Source organism: Homo sapiens, chromosome 18 (genome assembly GCF_000001405.40).
Source record: "Homo sapiens chromosome 18, GRCh38.p14 Primary Assembly".
Taxonomy (NCBI): Eukaryota; Metazoa; Chordata; class Mammalia; order Primates; family Hominidae; genus Homo; species Homo sapiens.
In genome coordinates, this window is record NC_000018.10 from 42,050,410 (window position 1) to 42,070,494 (window position 20,085).

The 20,085-nt window shown below is 35.7% G+C and overlaps 1 protein-coding gene across 4 annotated transcripts in view; it reads left to right on the top strand.

Moving 5' to 3' along the window:
- The window catches only part of PIK3C3 (phosphatidylinositol 3-kinase catalytic subunit type 3), a 132,597-nt gene that overhangs the window by 95,176 nt on the left and 17,336 nt on the right, over positions 1-20,085 (top strand). For 3 of the 4 annotated variants that reach the window (NM_002647.4, NM_001308020.2, XM_047437550.1), the window contains 3 exons: positions 7,474-7,642; positions 14,331-14,421; positions 16,979-17,104. In NM_002647.4, the coding sequence (NP_002638.2) occupies positions 7,474-7,642; positions 14,331-14,421; positions 16,979-17,104 (386 nt within the window). Of the gene's footprint in view, positions 1-7,473; positions 7,643-14,330; positions 14,422-16,978; positions 17,105-20,085 lie in introns of those variants that run through there. The other variant, XM_047437549.1, reaches the window with a different exon arrangement.

Below are 20,085 nucleotides of genomic sequence, written 5' to 3' on the forward strand. Positions count from 1 at the left end.
TTTCATTAACTTCAAATTGAAATATCGAACTGCTTACTTGAAATTGTCATTATATATGGCCAGTTGTAAAAGGTTGTCCTTTCCTCTACTACCTGCCTAAAACCTGTTTCTCACCTCATTTTTCCATTTCAATAGATAGCAACATCACCTACCCAGTTGTTCAAGCTCTAGACCTCAAAGTCATTCTTAACATGTCTCTTGGCCTCATCTCATATACTGAACCTATTAGCAAATCTTGTCTACTCCTCAACTCCAAAATAGATCATGAAGTTACCCACTGTCTTCATTTTTACTACTTTGACCCCACTTGAAGCAAACAATATATGTTGCCTAAACAATTTGAATGAAACCTGAACCCTTTATTGGGGCCTTGTGGCTTGTCCAGGCAGGCCATTTGTCTGAATGTCAAACCACTCCTGCCTCAGACAAGAGCCTTTGTTGTTTTCTCTTTCTGGAAAGTTATTTATTCAGATCTTTGCAGGGCTGACTTTAGTTATTAAGTTGAAGTTCTAATGGCATCTCTTTAGAGAAGCCCTTTCTAACTCCTTGATCTGTAATAACATATCTGCCCTCTTCCTCCAATGCTCTCTACTTATTACTGTATTGTTTATAGCACTTATCACTAGCTGAAGTTACCTTTTTTGTTTAATTCAACAACTATTTATTGAACAGCTAGTAGATGCTGGGAATACCAAAGTTAACAGAAGAGACAGAAATCCTTGCTCTCCTAGAGCTTGTTGAGTTCTTATCATCATCTTCTCCCCTTCAGGATGCAAGTTCCATGAGAGCAGGAACCTTTGTCCATTGGGGTTACCCCCATGCCTCTGGACCTTGAACACCACCTAGCTAAAGTGTTCAATAAATCAGTGTTGAATTAATGATGAATAAATACTTCTGCTCTTCCATGAACCTGTCTGGGCTAAATAATTCAAGTTTCTTCCGCTTTCTGCAGAAAGCAGATGTTTACGTTACTCTTTAAATTGGTCTCTCAAAACATTTTCTGTTTTGTTTGTATTTCTCCAAATTGTGATAATAATAATTTAACATAATACATCAAGAATAATCTATTAATATAATGGTCCTATTAATTTATAATTTGGAATGTCATATATTCAGTTTTTAATTATTACATATGAAAAATCATCTGTTAGAACTTGCATGGGTGATGTCATGTCTGTGTCAAAGCCAGTCAATCTCCTTAATAACCAAGACCAAAAGAATATAATCAGAGTGTCATGCAGATTCTTGGCTGATTTGCTCATTTAGCAGAGGATATTTATAAAACATTATGGTGTATTTGGAGAGAATTGTAATTTGGAAGTTTTCATGTGTTATTTTCATTAGCTCTTTTTTATTGGTTGAATCTTTTAACCACAAGAATCAAGCAACCAAAATGATTCCATTTTTTTCCAGATTGTAATCATTTACAACTACAATGGAATTCTTTAATATAAAAATAATGCTAAATGACGAGTTAATGGGTGCAGCACACCAACATGGCACATGTATACATATGTAACAAACCTGCACGTTGTGCACATGTACCCTAAAACTTAAAGTATAATAATAATAATAAAATAAAAAATAAAATAAATAAAAAAGAATTTGCCAGTGGAAAAAAAGGTAGTATTACATCTGTAATTTTATATTCACAAGTTCTACTTGATTCTTTTTTTGGAAATTGATAAACAATCAGACAGTGTAAAAAACCTTTTTCTGTTATACTTTGAAAAGTGCCCTTGTGTGTATTTGTGTGTGTGCGTATGTGTGTTTTGATGGGGGTATTTAAGAGTGAAACTGGAAGGAAGAATCTGCGTAATACACTTTTTTGGCCCAGGTCTCAGTTACTTGTTTAATGGAAATTGAATTAAATTTCAGAAACAGAAGCTTTAAGCTTTTGTTAACAGTTTTCCACTAGAGGGTGCTCCAGATTTGCTTTTTCAAAACCAAGATTTTACCCTAAAACGTGCATAAGTAAGATGCACATTTTTTTCCTATTAAAACAGCAGTTCATTTTTTCTTAACTGCTCTGTAATTATTTCATCCAGTTACATTATGCAGTTAGCATTTTATATCTTTCTTACTGGATACATGTTTTCAAGTTTTTAGTTTTGGTTTGGATGAAATTAGATTCTATAAGGAGAGACTGAGTATGTCAAGACAAATAGAAGTATAATGCATTCTTCAAGTTCTAACAATTTATAATAATTTTAAAAAGTTTGTGTCTCTAGTCATTTTTACTGAGAGTTTGTATTTCAAAGTGGTTTTAAGTTACATTTCATATATGTTATAAATAGACTTTGTATAGTTCAAAGTGAATTTTGAATGTGGTTCAGTGCAGGAAATATATTCCAATGTTTTTAGTTTAAAAAATGCCTCGACTGTCATGAAGACTTGTCCATTGTATATTTTGAGTTTATTATGCCTTCAAATTGAAAACTTTGGGTTCTCTTACATAACTGTCCAATCTTTCAATGGCTGATGGAGCATTTTTTAATAATCAAGTAACATTTTTCTTATTCTGCAAAATACAATACCTTTGTTTTCTGTACTCCTTTGCCAGCCCAAGCAGGTTTAGAGTCTAAGATTCTGCTTTAGATTAAAGTGGTTTTGAATTTCAATCAGACTTCCACTGTTTCATCTGTGTCCAGTTCTTTGATATGGGGGATGGAGCAGAAGAAGGAGCCACGCAGATTTCATTTCACTGATATTTTTTGGGGACTTAAACCAGACAAACTATTCTACCCTGTAAATATAGATGAAATAGAAAATGATCCAGCTAAGAACTCTGGGCATGTGAAAGAAAATGATTCGCTGCATATAGAGAATGTCAAAATCTATACAAGAGTAATGTTCTCAAATGCAAAATATTAGTCTCAATTATGGATTTCCCAGACCTTTTTTTGGCCCATGCTTTGTTTTTGAATACTTCTAGCTTGGTTGAAGTTTACTCAGCTTGCACAGCAGAGGGCGCTGTGTATCCACCATAAATGTAAAAGTGTAGCGATTGTATTGTCAGTGTATTGTCATGTGATTAATTATAACGCTGTTTTCTTGAAACAAGTTTGGGGTGAATGATATTTTACTTATTAGTGCATTACTATTGAATTCTTTTTTCATTATTACTATAGAATTCTTTGGACAAGAAATTACAAAGCTAGGCTGTGGTGTGGAGTTGAAAAATAATAGATTTTTTCCCAAGAATCATTGTCCTTAGGAGAAGCTTTAAAAAGCTTACTTAGGGCGATCAGTTGTGACAGGATTCAAATGAAACATGGTTTGAGTTTATCCCAGCTCTTTGGAGAAAGGTTAATTTTTTTGTTTTTATTTTTGGGAGTTTGAGGAAAGAGGGGAAGGCAGTATAACTGAAAAATATGTTCACTGCTTATGGTATACTTTTTAATGCAATCAGTATTTGAAATTCATTTGTAAATAACTGAAAAATGTTCACAAAAGTAAAGAGGGAACTGGTATCTGTACTAAATGGAAAGTTCATTGTGAGTCCTAAGGATGGCCCTCCTGATCTTGAGTTGCCATTTGTGAGAGAGGTAGTAGCTTTTCTGTCTGCCTTGCCACTTTAGAGTAATACACTTTGAAACTTTTCTCAGAAAGCTCAACATAAAGAAAAATGGTTATTCTTATTTTTATCTTAATTGGACATTTTCTTTCAATATAGCTCCTGTAATACAGGGTTCTCTAGAGGGACAGAACTAATGGTATATATATATATATATATATATATATATATATATATATATATATATATATATATATATATATATAAAGGGGAATTTATTAAGTATTAACTCATACATTCACAAGGTCCCATTATAGGCTGTCTGCAGGCTGAGGAGCAAGGAGAGCCAGTCTGAGTTCCAAAACTGAAGAACTTGGAGTCGGATGTTCGAGGGTAGGAAACATTCAGCACGAGAGAAAGATGTAGGCTGGGAGGCTGGGCAAGTCTCTCTTTTCACATTTTTCTGTCTGCTTTTATCCTAGCTGCCCTGGCAGCTGATTAGTTTGTGCCCATCTAGATTAAAGGTCTGCCTTTCCCAACCCACTGACTCAAATATTAATCTCCTTTGGCAGCACCCTCACAGACACACCCAGGATCAATACTTTGTATCCTTCAATCCAGTCAAGTTGACAGTCAGTATTAACATCACAGCTTCTATCCTGATTTTCTGTATTATTCTTTAATTTTATGTGAAAATGATTATTTTTTAGACCAAGAAACAGTCTTTCAGAGTGGCTAATTTGTTTGGCTCTAAAGGCAAATTTTTGCATTTATTTTGCCCCTCCCCCATTGGGTGACTTTGGGTAAGTTACATAATATGCCAGTAACTCAGTCTCTTCTTCTGAATCTGTAAATAATAATAGAACCTCTCTCCTAGTGGTGCTGTGAGGTTTGAATGAGATAAGTAGACTTTTGCTTGGTATTGAGCACATAATAAACATTCCTTAAGGGCTATTAGGTTTTCTTTGCTTGTTTGTTTTACCACCATGAGATGAATAATGCCTTTTTTTTTTTAAACTTATGTAGTTCTTATTTGGACTCATACTATTAGAGAGAAGAAAATAGTTAATATATTTCAAAAATTTCTTTTTCCCACTTGCTATAATTTGGGTATTTGACTCCTCCAAATCTCATGTTGAAACTTCATCCCCATTGATGGAGATAGGATCAAATGGGAAGTGTTTGGGTCATGGTGGTGGATTCTTCATGAATGGCCTGGTACTGTGCTGGAGGTAATGAGTGAGCTCTTCTGTTAGTTCCCTTGAAAGCTGGTTGTTAAAAAAGAGCTTCGTACCTCCCCTCTCATGCTACTATGTGATCTCAGCACATGCCAGCTCCTTTTCGCCTTTATAGATTATTGATCTTTGATACTGAAAACTATTATTGAAAAATATTGCATCATTGTGCTTTTAACTGAGTGAAAATACTGCTAACCAAGTATATTGTAAGGGTTTAAGTAATAAGTATTGGGAACAGAGAGTGGGAGTATAAATGTAGGGAGCCTTTTTAATTCTGAAAATATAGGTTTTGCTATAAGAATAAATTGCTGTTTGCTACCTTCTGTATTTCTAGGTTTAGTGATAGGGCAGTAGGAAAGATACGACATTCAATTAAGACAAAAGGCATTTTATGGAAAAAATGGTAAATAAATGCCAGGTTATATATAAAAAATTGAAGAGTGGGAAACTCACTGGAGTAGGATGTCAGGGAAGAATTTTTGGAGTTGGGAATTATATGGAATCTTTAAATAATAGAGTTTGGATTATAAGGAACAGCAGAAGAAAGTCAAGTAGAAGGAGGAGAGTAAGAAGAGGTATGAAAAACAGAATGAATACAGTTTTGATGTTGGACACGTTTAATTATTAAACAAAATGGAAATTTAAAATAAACTTTACCATTAAATACTGTCAAAGAGAATAGTGTATGTTCTCTTTAATCCAAGAATTACAGATGCCTCAAACTACAATTTTAGAAATAAGTTCATGTTATTTATGCAAATAACAGGAAAATGTAATTAGCACCTCTTACTCCCTATGTTTTACAAGTTGGAGACAAAAGGAGGTTAACAACCAGTTTGTTTTATGTATACTTTATTTCTTGACTGTTTAAGGTGGTAGATTCGAATAAGATCATACTCTCTGAACTTCTTAAACATTTTTTTTAAATTTCATTATGTGTATTTTTTGAACCTTTACAAATTGCATTTTCAAATATTAACTTTAAAAAAAACATTCCCTTCAGTATTTATGAAGATGAATTTTCTTAAAACATTACATTAATAGGCTCTTTTGAAAATACATGGCTATTTAACTTGTAAAGCATAATATAATTTCATTGTTAGATACTGAATCTTTTACACCTTTTAATTAAGTAGTAATCCTGTTGTTTGAGTTTTCTGACAAGAAGGATAGAAATATACTCTTCGTTTGTAAACAGTGATACATAGCCAATATTGGAATTCCAGTAATTCCTGTCATGAAATGAAGAAAACTGGGATAGGTTTCGTATTAAAAGCATGGAGCTCATTAAATAAACCATGCATGATGGCAGTTTTGTGTCAGAGATTGACCGGATTGGTCATCTGTTCAAGTATATTGGTAACAAAACATTATTTAAATAATTAAATAAAACCAAGGAAAATGTATCTACACCTGTAATATTGTGAGCTTCTTATTTCTTTACCTCTTTTGGGGCAGAATCATGTGTATCCAACAAGGTAAAAGATATATGAGAACTTCAAAATGAGAATAAAGTACCAAAAGAATTGCTTAGCTTAGTTGAACAGAGAACACATATTTAGTTGAAGGTGGTAAAATGGTTAACAGAAATTGATCATGGACTTTTCATCAGTTCATGGAAAACTGAAATCATAGCATACTCCCCTTGAACCTTAAGAGACTATAGGGATGCTGCTTTTCCAGTGGGTACTGAAGTTGTCAAATTCACTTTTGTAAAACTGGTTCCTCATATTTGTTGAATTATGGACTTTCCTTGGGAATCTGGTGAAGTATATTGATCTCCCCCCAAAATCAGTTTCATTGTACTTAGAGACCATTAAAGCCCATTTTGGGATTCTGAAAGAGTAGTTTTTCAGTCATAAATCATTCAGTAGTTTCTTTTAATAGAAATGAACCCCCCCCCCCGTGTTGACATTTTATGATCTTAAATATGTACAACGTGAAACCTCATAATTGTGCCTACTCTTACATACTATACAATGAAAACAGATTTATAAATCAATGTGTTACAGATTAGTAAAATTTAACAACATTAAAATGATAGGTGGTATATTATTACAACTAAATTGCTATTTACATACTATACAATGAAAACAGATTTATACTATACATTACTCTTACTATACAATGAAAACAGATTTATAAGTCAGTCTTTCTTACATATTAGTAAAATTTAACAGGATTAAAGTGATAGGTGATATATTATTGTAACTAAATTGCTATTTATGCTAAGAATATGGTTTTTAAAATTTTTCCTTTCTAAAATTTTTTTTGAGTAATAATAAGTTAGCAGAAGGATTCATCTCAGGAATATTTAAAGAAATAATTTTCTACTATATGAAGGGCACTGTGCTTAAACTTTAGCACAAAAAATTTTCTACAAGATTCCACTTTCTGCTGATACCTTAAAAAGTTACCCAGGCTCTGACCGTCTTTGATTCTGAAGACTTATAAATAGGATTTAACATTTTTAGATTACCATTACTGTGACATGATTTTAGGCATAGTTTCGTGTGAACGAATGAGTTAAAATGAGTTAATTATGTTCTGAAGGCCACTCTCAAACCTGCAGTTAGAAATATCGAAGAATTTAATAGGCTTCATCGTGAACTAATATTCTTTATGAAGAGACACTGTTTATATCAATTGTGTGACATATCACCTACCCAGTTCTTTAAGATAATTCTGGAAACAAATGAGTTTCTTGTCAACATCCAGGCAAACTCTTCCACATAGACTTTGGATATATTTTGGGTCGGGATCCAAAGCCTCTTCCTCCACCAATGAAGCTGAATAAAGAAATGGTAGAAGGAATGGGGGGCACACAGAGTGAGCAGTACCAAGAGTTCCGTAAACAGTGTTACACGGCTTTCCTCCACCTGCGAAGGTAAGTTGATTTGCTTGGCACAGAGAATTTGGGTAAATTTATTTTATTTTATAGAACAAGAGAATTTGTTTAAATGTATGCATTCTTTAGCATTGATCACTTTTTCAAAATGACAAAGGCAACAATATTTCCTATCTTACATTTAATACCAATTTTGACAAACTGTCAAATATCAAAGGAAAAAGACATAAACTTTCTTGCTTTCCCACTATCTTATTACTATATCCCACCAGCTAGGAAGCTGGCATCACATAAGATGAAGCAAACATGGAGGCTTCCAACTCAATGGTGTTGATGTCACTTTAATAAAGTATACTTTGACAGTACTGAGATAGAGAAAAGGTTAAGAAACTTCATACCATTCAGATCTGCCTGAAGACAGTCCTGGAGACTTCCTTCTCCCTAGCTGACTTCCTATTTCTTTATCAAAGAATATAGGATATTTTAGAGTGATATTAGTTCAATCATTTTTATTCTTTAGCAGCCTTAGTTTTGGGTACTCTTCAGGAATATTCAGAAGTTTGCTCAATGATTGTGGTAAATGTTAAATATGATTTTTATCTCTTTTTAACACCTCATCAGTCATTCTGCTACAAAAAAATGTTTTTTCTCCGTCCTTTTTTCTTCAACACCACTAAATCTGTGCTTCCTTCTTGCTAATTTACTTAGGACTGACTATCATATGTCATCAGGAAGAAAAATAAAAGTCATGTTTGGTAAATTTAGGACATGGCTCTGATGATTATTAGTCAAAAATGACAGGATCATTTGACTCATGCTATTTTCAGCCCAACTATGCAAAATGAACTTTTCTTAGTCCAGCAGAAAATCCCAGTCCAGGAAACATACATACATGCTCTTCCAGGTGAAAATATAACCAATAGATAGCCAGTTGCCTGTGCACATGGGTTCTGTTTCCTTTGACTTCATAACCTTTGTGACATCAATTACTCATACAGTGTTTAGTACATAGGCACTCATTGTGTGTTTATTCATTGAGAACTCTTCGTATTTGTATGAGAACCCTCCGAATTCCTGCTTTGAGTCTAGTGTGAGGCCATGTTCCCAGTTAATGTTGATGTGTTGGTCCTAGGAGACTGGTTTTCTTACAGTAATGGGGTTTCATTTATGCACTGACTAGGTCTTCATTGTAAACTCAGTCTTTTCCATGTATCACAAACCTGTAACAGGCATTTTACAAATGGCCATGATATTTATCCTTTGGGTGGCAGAATGGCTCAGTTTTACCTTCCAGAAATGCCAAAAGAATAATGAGAAAATCAGTGCTCTTTAGATTTGTTTGGTGATGCAGAAGCACTTTCAGAGAGATGAGAGTGCCATTTAATATCTGCGATTTTTAATTTAAAATAGTCAAAGCCCATAGAAAACTAGGTCGAACCATGGATATCTCAGGGAGGTGGCGGACAAGATGGTAAGGAATGATAACTAGAGAAATGTCAGAGGTGCTCTATCTTATTGAAAGCAGAAGGAAAACAATGTGGTTTATAAACTGTCATTGGTAGTGGATTAGTAGCAATTCAATAGAATAAGAAAACAGGCAGGTTATTAATGGAGAGCCAAGGTTGACTTCCTTGCTACAAAGAAAAGCCACAGAGAGATTAATCTAAATAATTTTATGCAGAGTTTTAATGAAAACTGTTTAACTTTTAAAAATTTCCCTGTACTTAATATTATCTGGACCTAAATTATTTGATCAACTTTTTTTTTTTTTTTTTGAGACAGGTTGTCACTGTCGCCCAGGTTGGAGTGCAGTGGCATGACCATGGTTCACTGCAGTCTTGACTTCCCAGGCTCAGATGATCCTTCCACCTCAGACTTGCAGGTAGCTGGAACTACAGGCATATGCCACCATGCCCAGCTAATTTTTTGTGTTTTTTTGTAGAGACGGGGTGGGGTCTTGCTATGTTGCCCAGGCTGGTCTTGAACTCCTGGATTCAAGCTGTCTGCCCACCTTGGCCTCTCAAAGTGCTGGGATTACAGACATAAACCCATCGCACCTGGCCAACATTTATTTTTTAATGTTGTATTTCAGAGTATGTTTTAGTTGGTTGAAAAAATGCCTTCAGGATATAAGAATTAACCTGATAGTTGTTTGGAGCTAAGGTTATCGGCACTTTTATTAAGCTATTAGATATGATCGGCCCTGTTATTTTATAGTTTTTCTTGATAATTGATCAGTTTCTTCACAAAGAATCCACTGAATAACATTGTACCACATAAGCAGAGTAGTCCATTTGAACTTAGTTATAAATGGTTACAAAATACATTATCATCTCTTATTAATCAGTACATATTAAGTCTTTCTCCCAACCCACACTTATGCCAAACACCATTCTTAGACACTGATGTTACAAAGATGTTCTTTTTACATTTTTTGGTAAAAATTTTCAATAGTGAAATAAGGAATACATTTACCAGCTGGGCACGGTGACTCACTCCTGTAATCCAAGCACTCTGGGAGGCTGAGGTGGGTGGATCACTTGAGGCCAGGAGTTTGAGACCAGCCTGGCCAACATGGTGAAACCCTGTCTCTACTAAAAAAGAAAATACAAAAATTAGCCAGGTGTGATGGTGCACGCTTGTAATCTCAGCTACTAGGGAGGCTGAGGTATGAGAATTGCTTGAACCCGAGAGGCAGAGGTTACAGTGAGCCAAAATCACACCACTGAACTCCAACCTAGACAATAGAGCAAGACTCTGTCTCAAAAAAAGAAAAAAAATTTAAAAAAATGTGTTTAACTATCAAGTAAGGTTCTCATATTGTCTCAGAGATGTTTGCCTAGTCACCAAACATCAGTGAATTTATTGGTCACATACATCATTAACTACATTGCTTCCCCTCTTTGAAGTAGTACACTTATTGAATAACACTTTCACAGGAACTCTGATTTTGCTGTCATGGAAAATAGAATGTAGAGGAAATACATTTGAAATACTATAAGAACCTCAATGTAGTTAATGGATTTCTATTTTCAGTAATAAAGGTTTTTCCTGAAAAATTTAAACTATCTTTGTGTGACTAGAGTGTAGCACAATAGTTGGCATGAACGTGGGTAAGAGAAAGAGTGCAGTTTCCTTGAACATTACATGCAACCTGCTTCTTTCTAAAAATCCTAATTATATCACATTCCATCTTGCAATCTTTGCTAGATTTTGCACGCTTTCCCACCCTATTATTGTTATTATTATTTTTTATCTTACCCTTAGGTTGTCTAATACTGGTTTGTTGGCCGGGCAGGGTGGCTCATGCCTGTAATCCCAGCACCTCGGGAGGTCGAGGCAGGTAGATAACTTGAGGTCAGGAGTTCGAGACCAGCCTGGCCAACATGGTGAAACCCTGTCTCTACTAAAAATACAAAAATTAGCCTGGCATAGTGGCACTGCCTGTAGTCCCAGTTACTTGGGGGGCTGAGGCAAGAGACTCGCTTGAACCTGGGAGGTGGAGGTTGCAGTGACCCGAGATCGTGCCACTGCACGCTAGTCTGGGTGACAGAACAAGACTCCATCTAAAAAAAAAAAGTGGCCTTTAAATTTGTGTTTCTGAGTAGGACATTAAATGACTGTCCTATGAAGTAAACACTTGGTATTTTGGTTCACTTGATGTATCTTAAATGGAAAATTCAGGTTAATGACAACAGATGTAAAAGATTAATACCAAAGGTAGTGACAAATTATTCACAAAGTATGTGGATATCTAACCTTTATATTTATTTCTGTTTCCCTTTGCTATAACAATAGAAGCGTGGATGGTTAAATTTAAATCAGGAGGTAATCCAGAAAGCATTAGTATTTACTTTTGTTAAAAGGAACATCGCATTCTACACCCGTAAAGGCAGATTTTTTTTTTTTTAACATTGATCCTGGCTGCCCGTTAGAATCACCTGGGGAGCTTGTAGGTGAGGTGGCAAGGGGAAAGTTCTGGACTCGCTCATATTTAATTGGTCTGAGATTGGGCTCAGGCATTGATACATTTGAAAAGCTACCAAGGTGAATCTAATGGGCAGCCAAGTTGGAGAACTTCTAATATATCTCTTTCAAAACTGACTTTGTATTCTCCTTATGTTACCTTCTGGTAGATTTCCCCATGCCAAGATGGGAAAAAATTATGTACCTATGTAATCAACAAAACAGAGTACGAATGATGGAGAGTTAGTTGAAAGAGCATCTTTTTTTTTTTTTTTTATAATATGTAACAGCGGATTGTACGCTGCTGGCATCACATTCCTTGAAGCCCTCTCAAGTGGATCATCTCTATTTCCATAGAGAAGGGCTTATCTAACCTGTGGCCCCCAGGCCACATGTGGCCCAGGACAGCTTAGAATACAGCCCAACACAAATTCATAAACTTTCTTAAAACATTATGAGATTTTTTTTTTTGTGATTTTTTAAAGCTCATCAGCTATCATTAGTGTTAGTGTATTTTATGTATAGCCCAAGACAATTCTTCTTCCACTGTGGCCCAGGGAAGCCAAATATTGGACACCTCTGATGTAGAACCTTCATTATCATTATAAAGGGTTTCATTCTGGACATTTATTTTTGCCCACCCCTCACTCCCCTTACCATTTTCATCCAGTCCTGTGACTTTACGTATGATCCTAGTGCTGATGACTTTAAACTAATATCACTAGCCTTCATATCTCCTCTGAGATATATCTGACATCTCTACTAAAAATCTAGTAGGCACCTCAGACTCCACATGTCTAAAACGAAATTCTTGAATCCCTGCCTAAAATCCTGTTCCTCTTCCATTTAGCCTCTCCTATCTTGGTGAATAACACTAGTGTCCTATTAGGCTAAATCCTTTGTGTTTTTCAGTTTCTCTATCCTCTCACCCTGACCTCCATTGAAACCATCAGCAAGGATCATCTATTTCATCTCCAAAATATAGCCTGATAACCCCCATGTTGGTTCCTGTCCACCTGGAAGTCTATGATATAGTTTCTCTACTTTGATTCTTACTCCCTTCAAGATGGCCAGTGTGAACTGTTAAAAATGCCTATCAACGTGTGTTACTCCACTCCTTAAACTTAGTTGCTTCTCAGTGCATTTCAAATACAACTATACCGCCTTAAGATGCCTCTCTCTCATTTTCCCATTTTCCTGTTGTTTTTTTCTCTTTTAAATCTTTTAATCAAGCAGACATAAAATTATCATGTTTATCAATTCATTATATTAGTTTACACCCTCCTCCAGAATGTAAACTTCATGAATGTGGGGACCCTGTTTGTTCAGTTCACCACTGTCTGTCTGTATCCCTAGTGCCTACAACAGTGGATATAGTGAGTACTAAGTAAGTGTTTGTTGGTTGAATGAATAAAATGATTACATGAGTAGGAATGGAATAACATCTGTGGTATGCATTTATCAATTCCCACAAAGAAATTAGTAATTTAAAGCTAGGTTAAAGCTGTTTAGCTATTATCATAACTTTTTGTTCCTAAGAGTTTAAGTGGGTTAGGGCCTGATTTGATTAGACTACATCAAGGTAGAAGTTTTTCATTATAATTCCTCTTGATTTTTATTGGCAATATAAAATTCAGAAATGAGGATAAAACAGATAATTTGAAACTTATATGGATAGTCATTTTTCTATAAAAGTTCCATTATCATTACAGTTTAACTGTTAAACATTTAAGTATTAAGTAACAGTTCGTATTTTATTATTATTATTATTATCATTATAGATAGGTAGATAGCTGGAATAAAGATCCTACATCACCCAGATCCTGCCCCCATCCCCTAGAGAAGACAGTGCAAGGCGCTTGGTTGACATTTTTACTGAAACAGCTAAAACCCTTCATTGCCTAAAACCAACGCTTTCCTTACATCCATCCTGAAGATCAAACCTGAATCTCTTTTTATCAGTGCTAAGGAGGGGCCACTAAGAGCATAACTACCCAAAGTGGAGAGGTCCCAGTGGAGATTTATTTAAAACTTTCCCCAGAAGGCCCCACCTCTGGAAATGACCATTCAGAATAGTAACATTTGTTCTCTTTGGAGGAAGAGGAAGAGTTTGAGGATTGGTGAAGAGAAACTGTTAGTTCCTGTTGGAGGCCAGCATACTCTGAAGATATCATTATTTAGATATCTTGCCCATTTTTAATGCAGCAGAGTACTAGCAATTTTTTCTTTCTTATAGAATTACTTTTATCCAGGTCAGTCACTGTAGTTCCTGAAATGATGATTGGTGTATCTGGAAGATACTCAGGAGTGATTCATGGGATGATTTTATTTCCCTTTCATTCATTTAGCCATGACACACTGAGGTCATCTTAAAGTAGCAGATTGTTATCTTCATCTAGCAAAAACAGATAGATTTTAATTGTTATAAAATGTGAATTGCACATAAAGTAGATCTTCCTCAGATCCCTTCTAAAATATATATATATACTTACTAAAAAATGAAAAGAATGTCATTATTAGATGATTACTCCAAAGGTCTGTCCCATGGTGTAGGATTTAGAAATGGTGTTATACGAAGACCCCAAAATAAAATATTTGTCAAGGCTTGCATTTCATTGATACCAACTGATGAATTTTCTGCTGGAATAATAGTAATCACTGTAGAAATCCAAGTACCACTACTTCTAAAGTATTCTTAATATGAGAAAGAAATGCAGAATTCTTAATCGTTGCTATTTTTTTCTTTTCTGCTCTTCTTTAGGTATTCTAATCTGATTTTGAACTTGTTTTCCTTGATGGTTGATGCAAACATTCCAGATATTGCACTTGAACCAGATAAAACTGTGAAAAAGGTAATTTTTAAGTAACATAAATGAAGAGCTCTTCTGTATAATTTTTCCATATTCCAGAATACAACAACCTCTCAAGTCTCTGCAGCCAGTTTTATCCCCTTCCTTGTTCCTGCCCACAGTCACATGAATAGGTTCTCTCATCTGGAGAGACAGTTTGCTTGCTACTCCAGCCCTGCAGTCACAGGGAGGAGGAAGCAGCAGCCCAAAGCTTAAAGAACTGAGCAGAGTTTTCAGCTATTGTCCATCATAGGGAGGATTTATTTTAAAATTGAATTTAGCCAAGTTAACTGCCAGCTACAATGAATCTTCACAAGAACACAACAGAATTCATAGTCTCTCTAACATATCATTTGGAATGTCTATTATCTCTCTTTTTTTTAATAACTAGATGTGTGAATAAACAGAAAATGTGACACTAAGCCAATGAAAAAATAAAACAATCCGTAGAAACACCCTGAGATGACCCATGACCGCAGAAAAGGACTTTAAAGCAGCTGTTACAAATGTCCATGCACCTAAGGGAAAATAAATGCATAATTACTGAACAGATAGGACTATCAATAGAGACATTAAAACTAGGAAGGAAGAACAAAATGAAAATTATGGAACTGAAAGTACAGTAGCTAAAATGAAATATTAATTGGGTAGGCTTAACAGCAGATTGAGTTATGGCATTAGAAGTCAGTAAACTTAAAGATAAATCAATAGAAATTATTTAATTTACTTCCACAGCTTCACTGCCTGTGGAGGAACAGGAACGATGTCAATCATTGGCAAAATAAACTAAACTAGATCTTCTCATATGTCTCCATTCCTATAGAATTTCCCTGTATCCCTGTAAAGGACTACCTCAATAGATCTGTAGTTTCCAAAGATGGGGATTTTTTTTTAGTTCATATTTAAAGTTGTGGTTAATTTACAATAGCCTTAAGTATTAGAACAATTAGTGTATGTGTTAAGAATCTTAAGAACCTAGAGGACAGCCTAACATAAGTCAGTAAATCTGATACCAAATAACTATTTATATACAGTTAACCCTTTGGTATAAAAGAGAATATTTTCATATTTGGTAAATAACATTTTTATGCCAAGTGTATACCTTCTCTTTGTAATTCAGGCACTTATGTAAGTATGCAAGCTTTGATAAATTGGGCTAAAGTTTATTTTGATTCTCCTGCTCTGTAGATTTTTTATTTCCTTAAAAATAGTTCCAAAATTGTCAGATATTCTCTCTGTAAGTAGAAGTTAAGGAAATCAAAAGATCGAACTTAAGGAATATGTTTGTCATTATCTGGGATGCAGACATGAGAGAGCTAGTTCATTGAAGATACAGCCTTAGATGTTCCTCCACCAAATTGTTCTTGTCTTCACTTCTTACATTTACCTCTCTTTTACCTCCTGCTATCTTGTGGCTCAAGCACTCTCAGATCACCTGGTATACCTCCAGTACAGTGAAGAGACAAGGGCACTGAGCTGGGGCTATGGATTGTTGCACTGTTTGTCATTTCTTCTTTGTAGCTTTCTAGTAGTGAAACCCTATACTTCAAACACTAAATGGGGACCACACTTTATCCACTTGGAATCCCCATTTTCTCCTAGCCTGTCTTTGAGAAGTATATGTGGGTTATTTACAAGAGAAAGGAGTAGTCTGTAATGGTTGTGTGTGGTGGCGTAGGATTGTCTGGAAGCATGTGCCAGTTAAGGGTTCTTGAGCCGGCTTCGTGAATTCTCTGTGCCTCAATTTCTGCATATTATCGATGAGATATTATCTACTGTATGTTTGCGTATCAGTCGGATGAAATGTTGCATGTATAATATTTGGCATGGCATTTTGCACAAAGTAGTTCTTCAGTAACATTGACTTTTATATATATATAAAATATACGCACATAAATATACATACTAGTTTTTCTAGTACTTAATGCTACTGAAAATCAAGTGTAGCTTTAAATAAGACTAAAAAAATTATTTTATCTTTGGAAACGATAGACCTATTGATGTAGTTTTGTGTGGGGATGTAGGGAAATTCAATAGGAAAGGAAACCTTAGAAGATCACATTTAGTTTGTCAGTGATTGACATTGTTCCTGTTCTCATATAGACACTGAAGGTATGGGAGAATATTAATATAATCTCACCTTGCTTCATCCAATTCACAAGGAATAACAGGAATAAAGTGGATTATTAATAAACATTCCACAATTTAAATCATATATAGTAACTCTAGATTTTAGATTAAAAAAAAAGGCACACCTTTAGTTAAAAGAGCAGTTTTTCTGTTTTTGAGATGTAGGGCCCTAAGAAATATTTCTTCTTTTCTTTTTTCTTAAAAACTGTTTACAACCAACAAGAACAAGGTGATATACAGAGCATATAACAAAAACAGCAAACTTCCACACTCCAAAGAATGCCATTCAGAATTCTAATAAGTTACAGGTCATTTATTTGCCATAGGAATAGCTCATGTTACCTTATAATGTCTGCATCAGTTTGATTCTGCCTGTTCAAAATGTGCCCTATTTTTCTTCGTTGTAAAGACTAAGAGTGTTATCTTATAGGTTCAGGATAAATTCCGCTTAGACCTGTCGGATGAAGAGGCTGTGCATTACATGCAGAGTCTGATTGATGAGAGTGTCCATGCTCTTTTTGCTGCAGTGGTGGAACAGATTCACAAGTTTGCCCAGGTAAGTTCCCTGAGTGCAGTGCATTTTTCTCACCTTCTCCGTGTACTGCCCCAGAGTCCTTGGAGAGCCATGCATTTCTCCTGCCAGTTGACATCTTTTCTGTTTTTCTATCAAGTCGTTTTGACATCTCACCAGCCAGCTGAAGTGAATTGTGTTTCACACGTTACTAATTCCAAAACATCTGCTTTTCTTAGTAATGACTAACTTCTGGAGCACCAGCATAGGTATTTTTGTTCTTTGCAGTCAGTGGTGATTATACGTCCTCTTGAGAATGATTTTGGATCCAGCAGAGGCCTTAGCAATTGAAACTTGGACACTTGTTGGGTTTTGGTGAATGATGAAGTGCTGGGAAAGTTTAGAAGCTAAGAAAAGCAATCCACATCACACACCAGAAAGGTCTATCCATAGACTTACTATTAGCAGTATCCACAGATAAGTGAGGGATTACCCCTTTATGGTAAACTTCAGATTTAAAACCCATTTTAATTATGAATTGCATAATAAGGATGACTATGAAAATGGTTAGCAAACGGAAAAATTAGGCTGCTTTTTTCTTCTATGCCCTCACCTCTCCTGTGAACTCCTTCCTGGTGTTACACATTCACTTAATGATTTTCCTAATCATCCAAGCTTAAAGCTTGTCTGCTTTGAATTTTCCCTCAGCCAGTGACCAGTATCTCACCAAGCCGTGTTTGTTTCTTTAACCTTTTTAACCCAGTTTTTTTAAACTTTATGATACCTAGGTGTGTGCAGTTTCCTCATTGCCTAACAGCGAAGTCAAATCTCTGGCAACTTAAGGCCTTCTAGAATATTGTGTTCTATGCTGCTTTTCAAGCTGTTGTGTAATACTCTCTTTCTCTAAATATTTTGTTGTCTTTCATCATAGTGGACAACTTTGCTGCTGTCATTTCTTCAGCCCAGAAATCAATCTTCTTAATAATGTATCTTCTGTAAACTTCTACATGGCAAAATCCAACCTGTCCTCCAAGAGCTCTTAATGCTCTTTGATTGATCTTTCTCTAAATTTCTGTATGTTTTCTACCTTTATTACGACTTGCACTTATGTTTTGCTTTCTTTTTTTCCTTCCCCCCACCTCCCACTTTTCCCACATTAGCTGATGTTTTGCTTTTTATTATAGATATTTAGATTCCCGGGGCCAGGCGCGGTGGCTCACGCCTGTAATCCCAGCACTTTGGGAGGCCAAGGAGGGTGTATCACGAGATCAGGAGATCGAGACCATCCTGACTAACACAGTGAAACCCTGTCTCTACTAAAAATACAAAAAATTAGCCAGGTGTGATGGCGGGCGCCTGTAGTCCCAGCTACTCAGGAGGCTGAGGCAGGAGAATGGCATGAACCTGGGAGGCGGAGGTTGCGGTGAGCTGAGATTGTGCCACTGTACTCCAGCCTGGGCAACAGAGCGAGACTCCGTCTCAAAAAAAAAAAAAAAAAAAGAAATAGATATTTAGATTCCGTTATAACTCTTCAAATACAGACTTCCTGAAGGCTGGGCTTTGTCTATCAGTCACCTAGTAGTGCAATGCCTTATATACTTAAAAAATATTTAATGAACATAAAGGAATTCCTGCCTCTAGATGTTAGCTTATACTCTTTTTCTAGCTCAATAAAAAGGTGTTTTTCCCTGAACACCAGTCTTGATCATATTTTTATTACAAGGGCTGCCTCAGGGTCTGCTTCATGGGTCATTAATTGTAACCAATCATTTGTTGAGAATAAATTGTGATTCAAATAGTATGTGACTCATCAAAGTCAACCAGCTAGCTAAAGGTGGACCTTGCTCTACATATAGCAGAACAGAATATTTTAGAGGTATAGGGGGAAAAAGGCCAGAGAGATATCATGACCACTTGACATCTGTGACAAACAAGGGACAAAACCAAGACTTAAACCCAAATATTTTGACTCCCATATTTAGTATTTTTTAAACCAGATCTTTTCAGTGTCTTGCTCATCACTATACTACATTAGTGTCAATCAAACTTTTCCTGGCCACGGCCCATCTCTGTGTGTGTACACCTTATTTTTTTCTTTTTTTAAGCTCAACTAGTTAAAACATGCTTGAAGTCAGAAACTCTTAACTTCTGTGTCTTTGCATTTCTGTAGCAGGGGATTTACCCGTTGTAGTTGGTCATTTATATTTTATCTTACTCCATCTCTATCTACAAGTGTAGAAATATCTCTCCATCATGGGTTTTCCTTATTCCATACTTGTAGATTCTGGTTTTTCTCCTTTGTTTTCCTGGAGAATGATATAATGGAGCTAAAACTCCAAACTTGAAATTAGTGCTGCTGCCTAACACTGATTTCAGTAATCTATAGCTACACAAGCATCTCCAGACTTAGTAGCTGAAAAAGCAATAATGATTTGTTATTTCTTACTTAGGATGCTTCAGTCAGGAATTTAGCTAGAGCCCAGCTATGAGGTTTTTTTGTTTGCTGTAATGTTAGCTGGCTTCACTCCTTCAGCTGTATTCGACTGGTAGTTGGGTTTGTCTTGGAGGTCCAGCAAAGCTTCACTCAATAGGTCTGGCACTTAGGTGTTCTCTGCATGGACTATCTCTCTCCACTTCCTCTGTCATCATTTCAGACTCCTGCCCAAACTGCTGCTCTACAGCATGGTGACTGATTTCCCCAAGAGGATATGAAGGCAGACGTGGCAGTCCTCTTAAAATAAGTCCCAAGAGCAGCCCAGATTCACAGAGAGAAAAAATAGATTCTGCCTCTTGACAGGAGGAGAGAGTTGCATATGCAGAAAAGAGAGGAATTAAGTAGCATTTTTGAAGATTTCACTGCCACTCAGCTAATGTGCTCCAGCTTAAAGTTGAGCCTTCAAGTTCTGTAAAATGAATTAGTGGCATGCTTTATTTTAGTGGTCTAGTTTTGAAATTCTATTGTTAATTTGCATAAGATGCCCATTTTGCTTGCTGGATCTAAAAATAGAAGGGCCATTTTTCTTAAT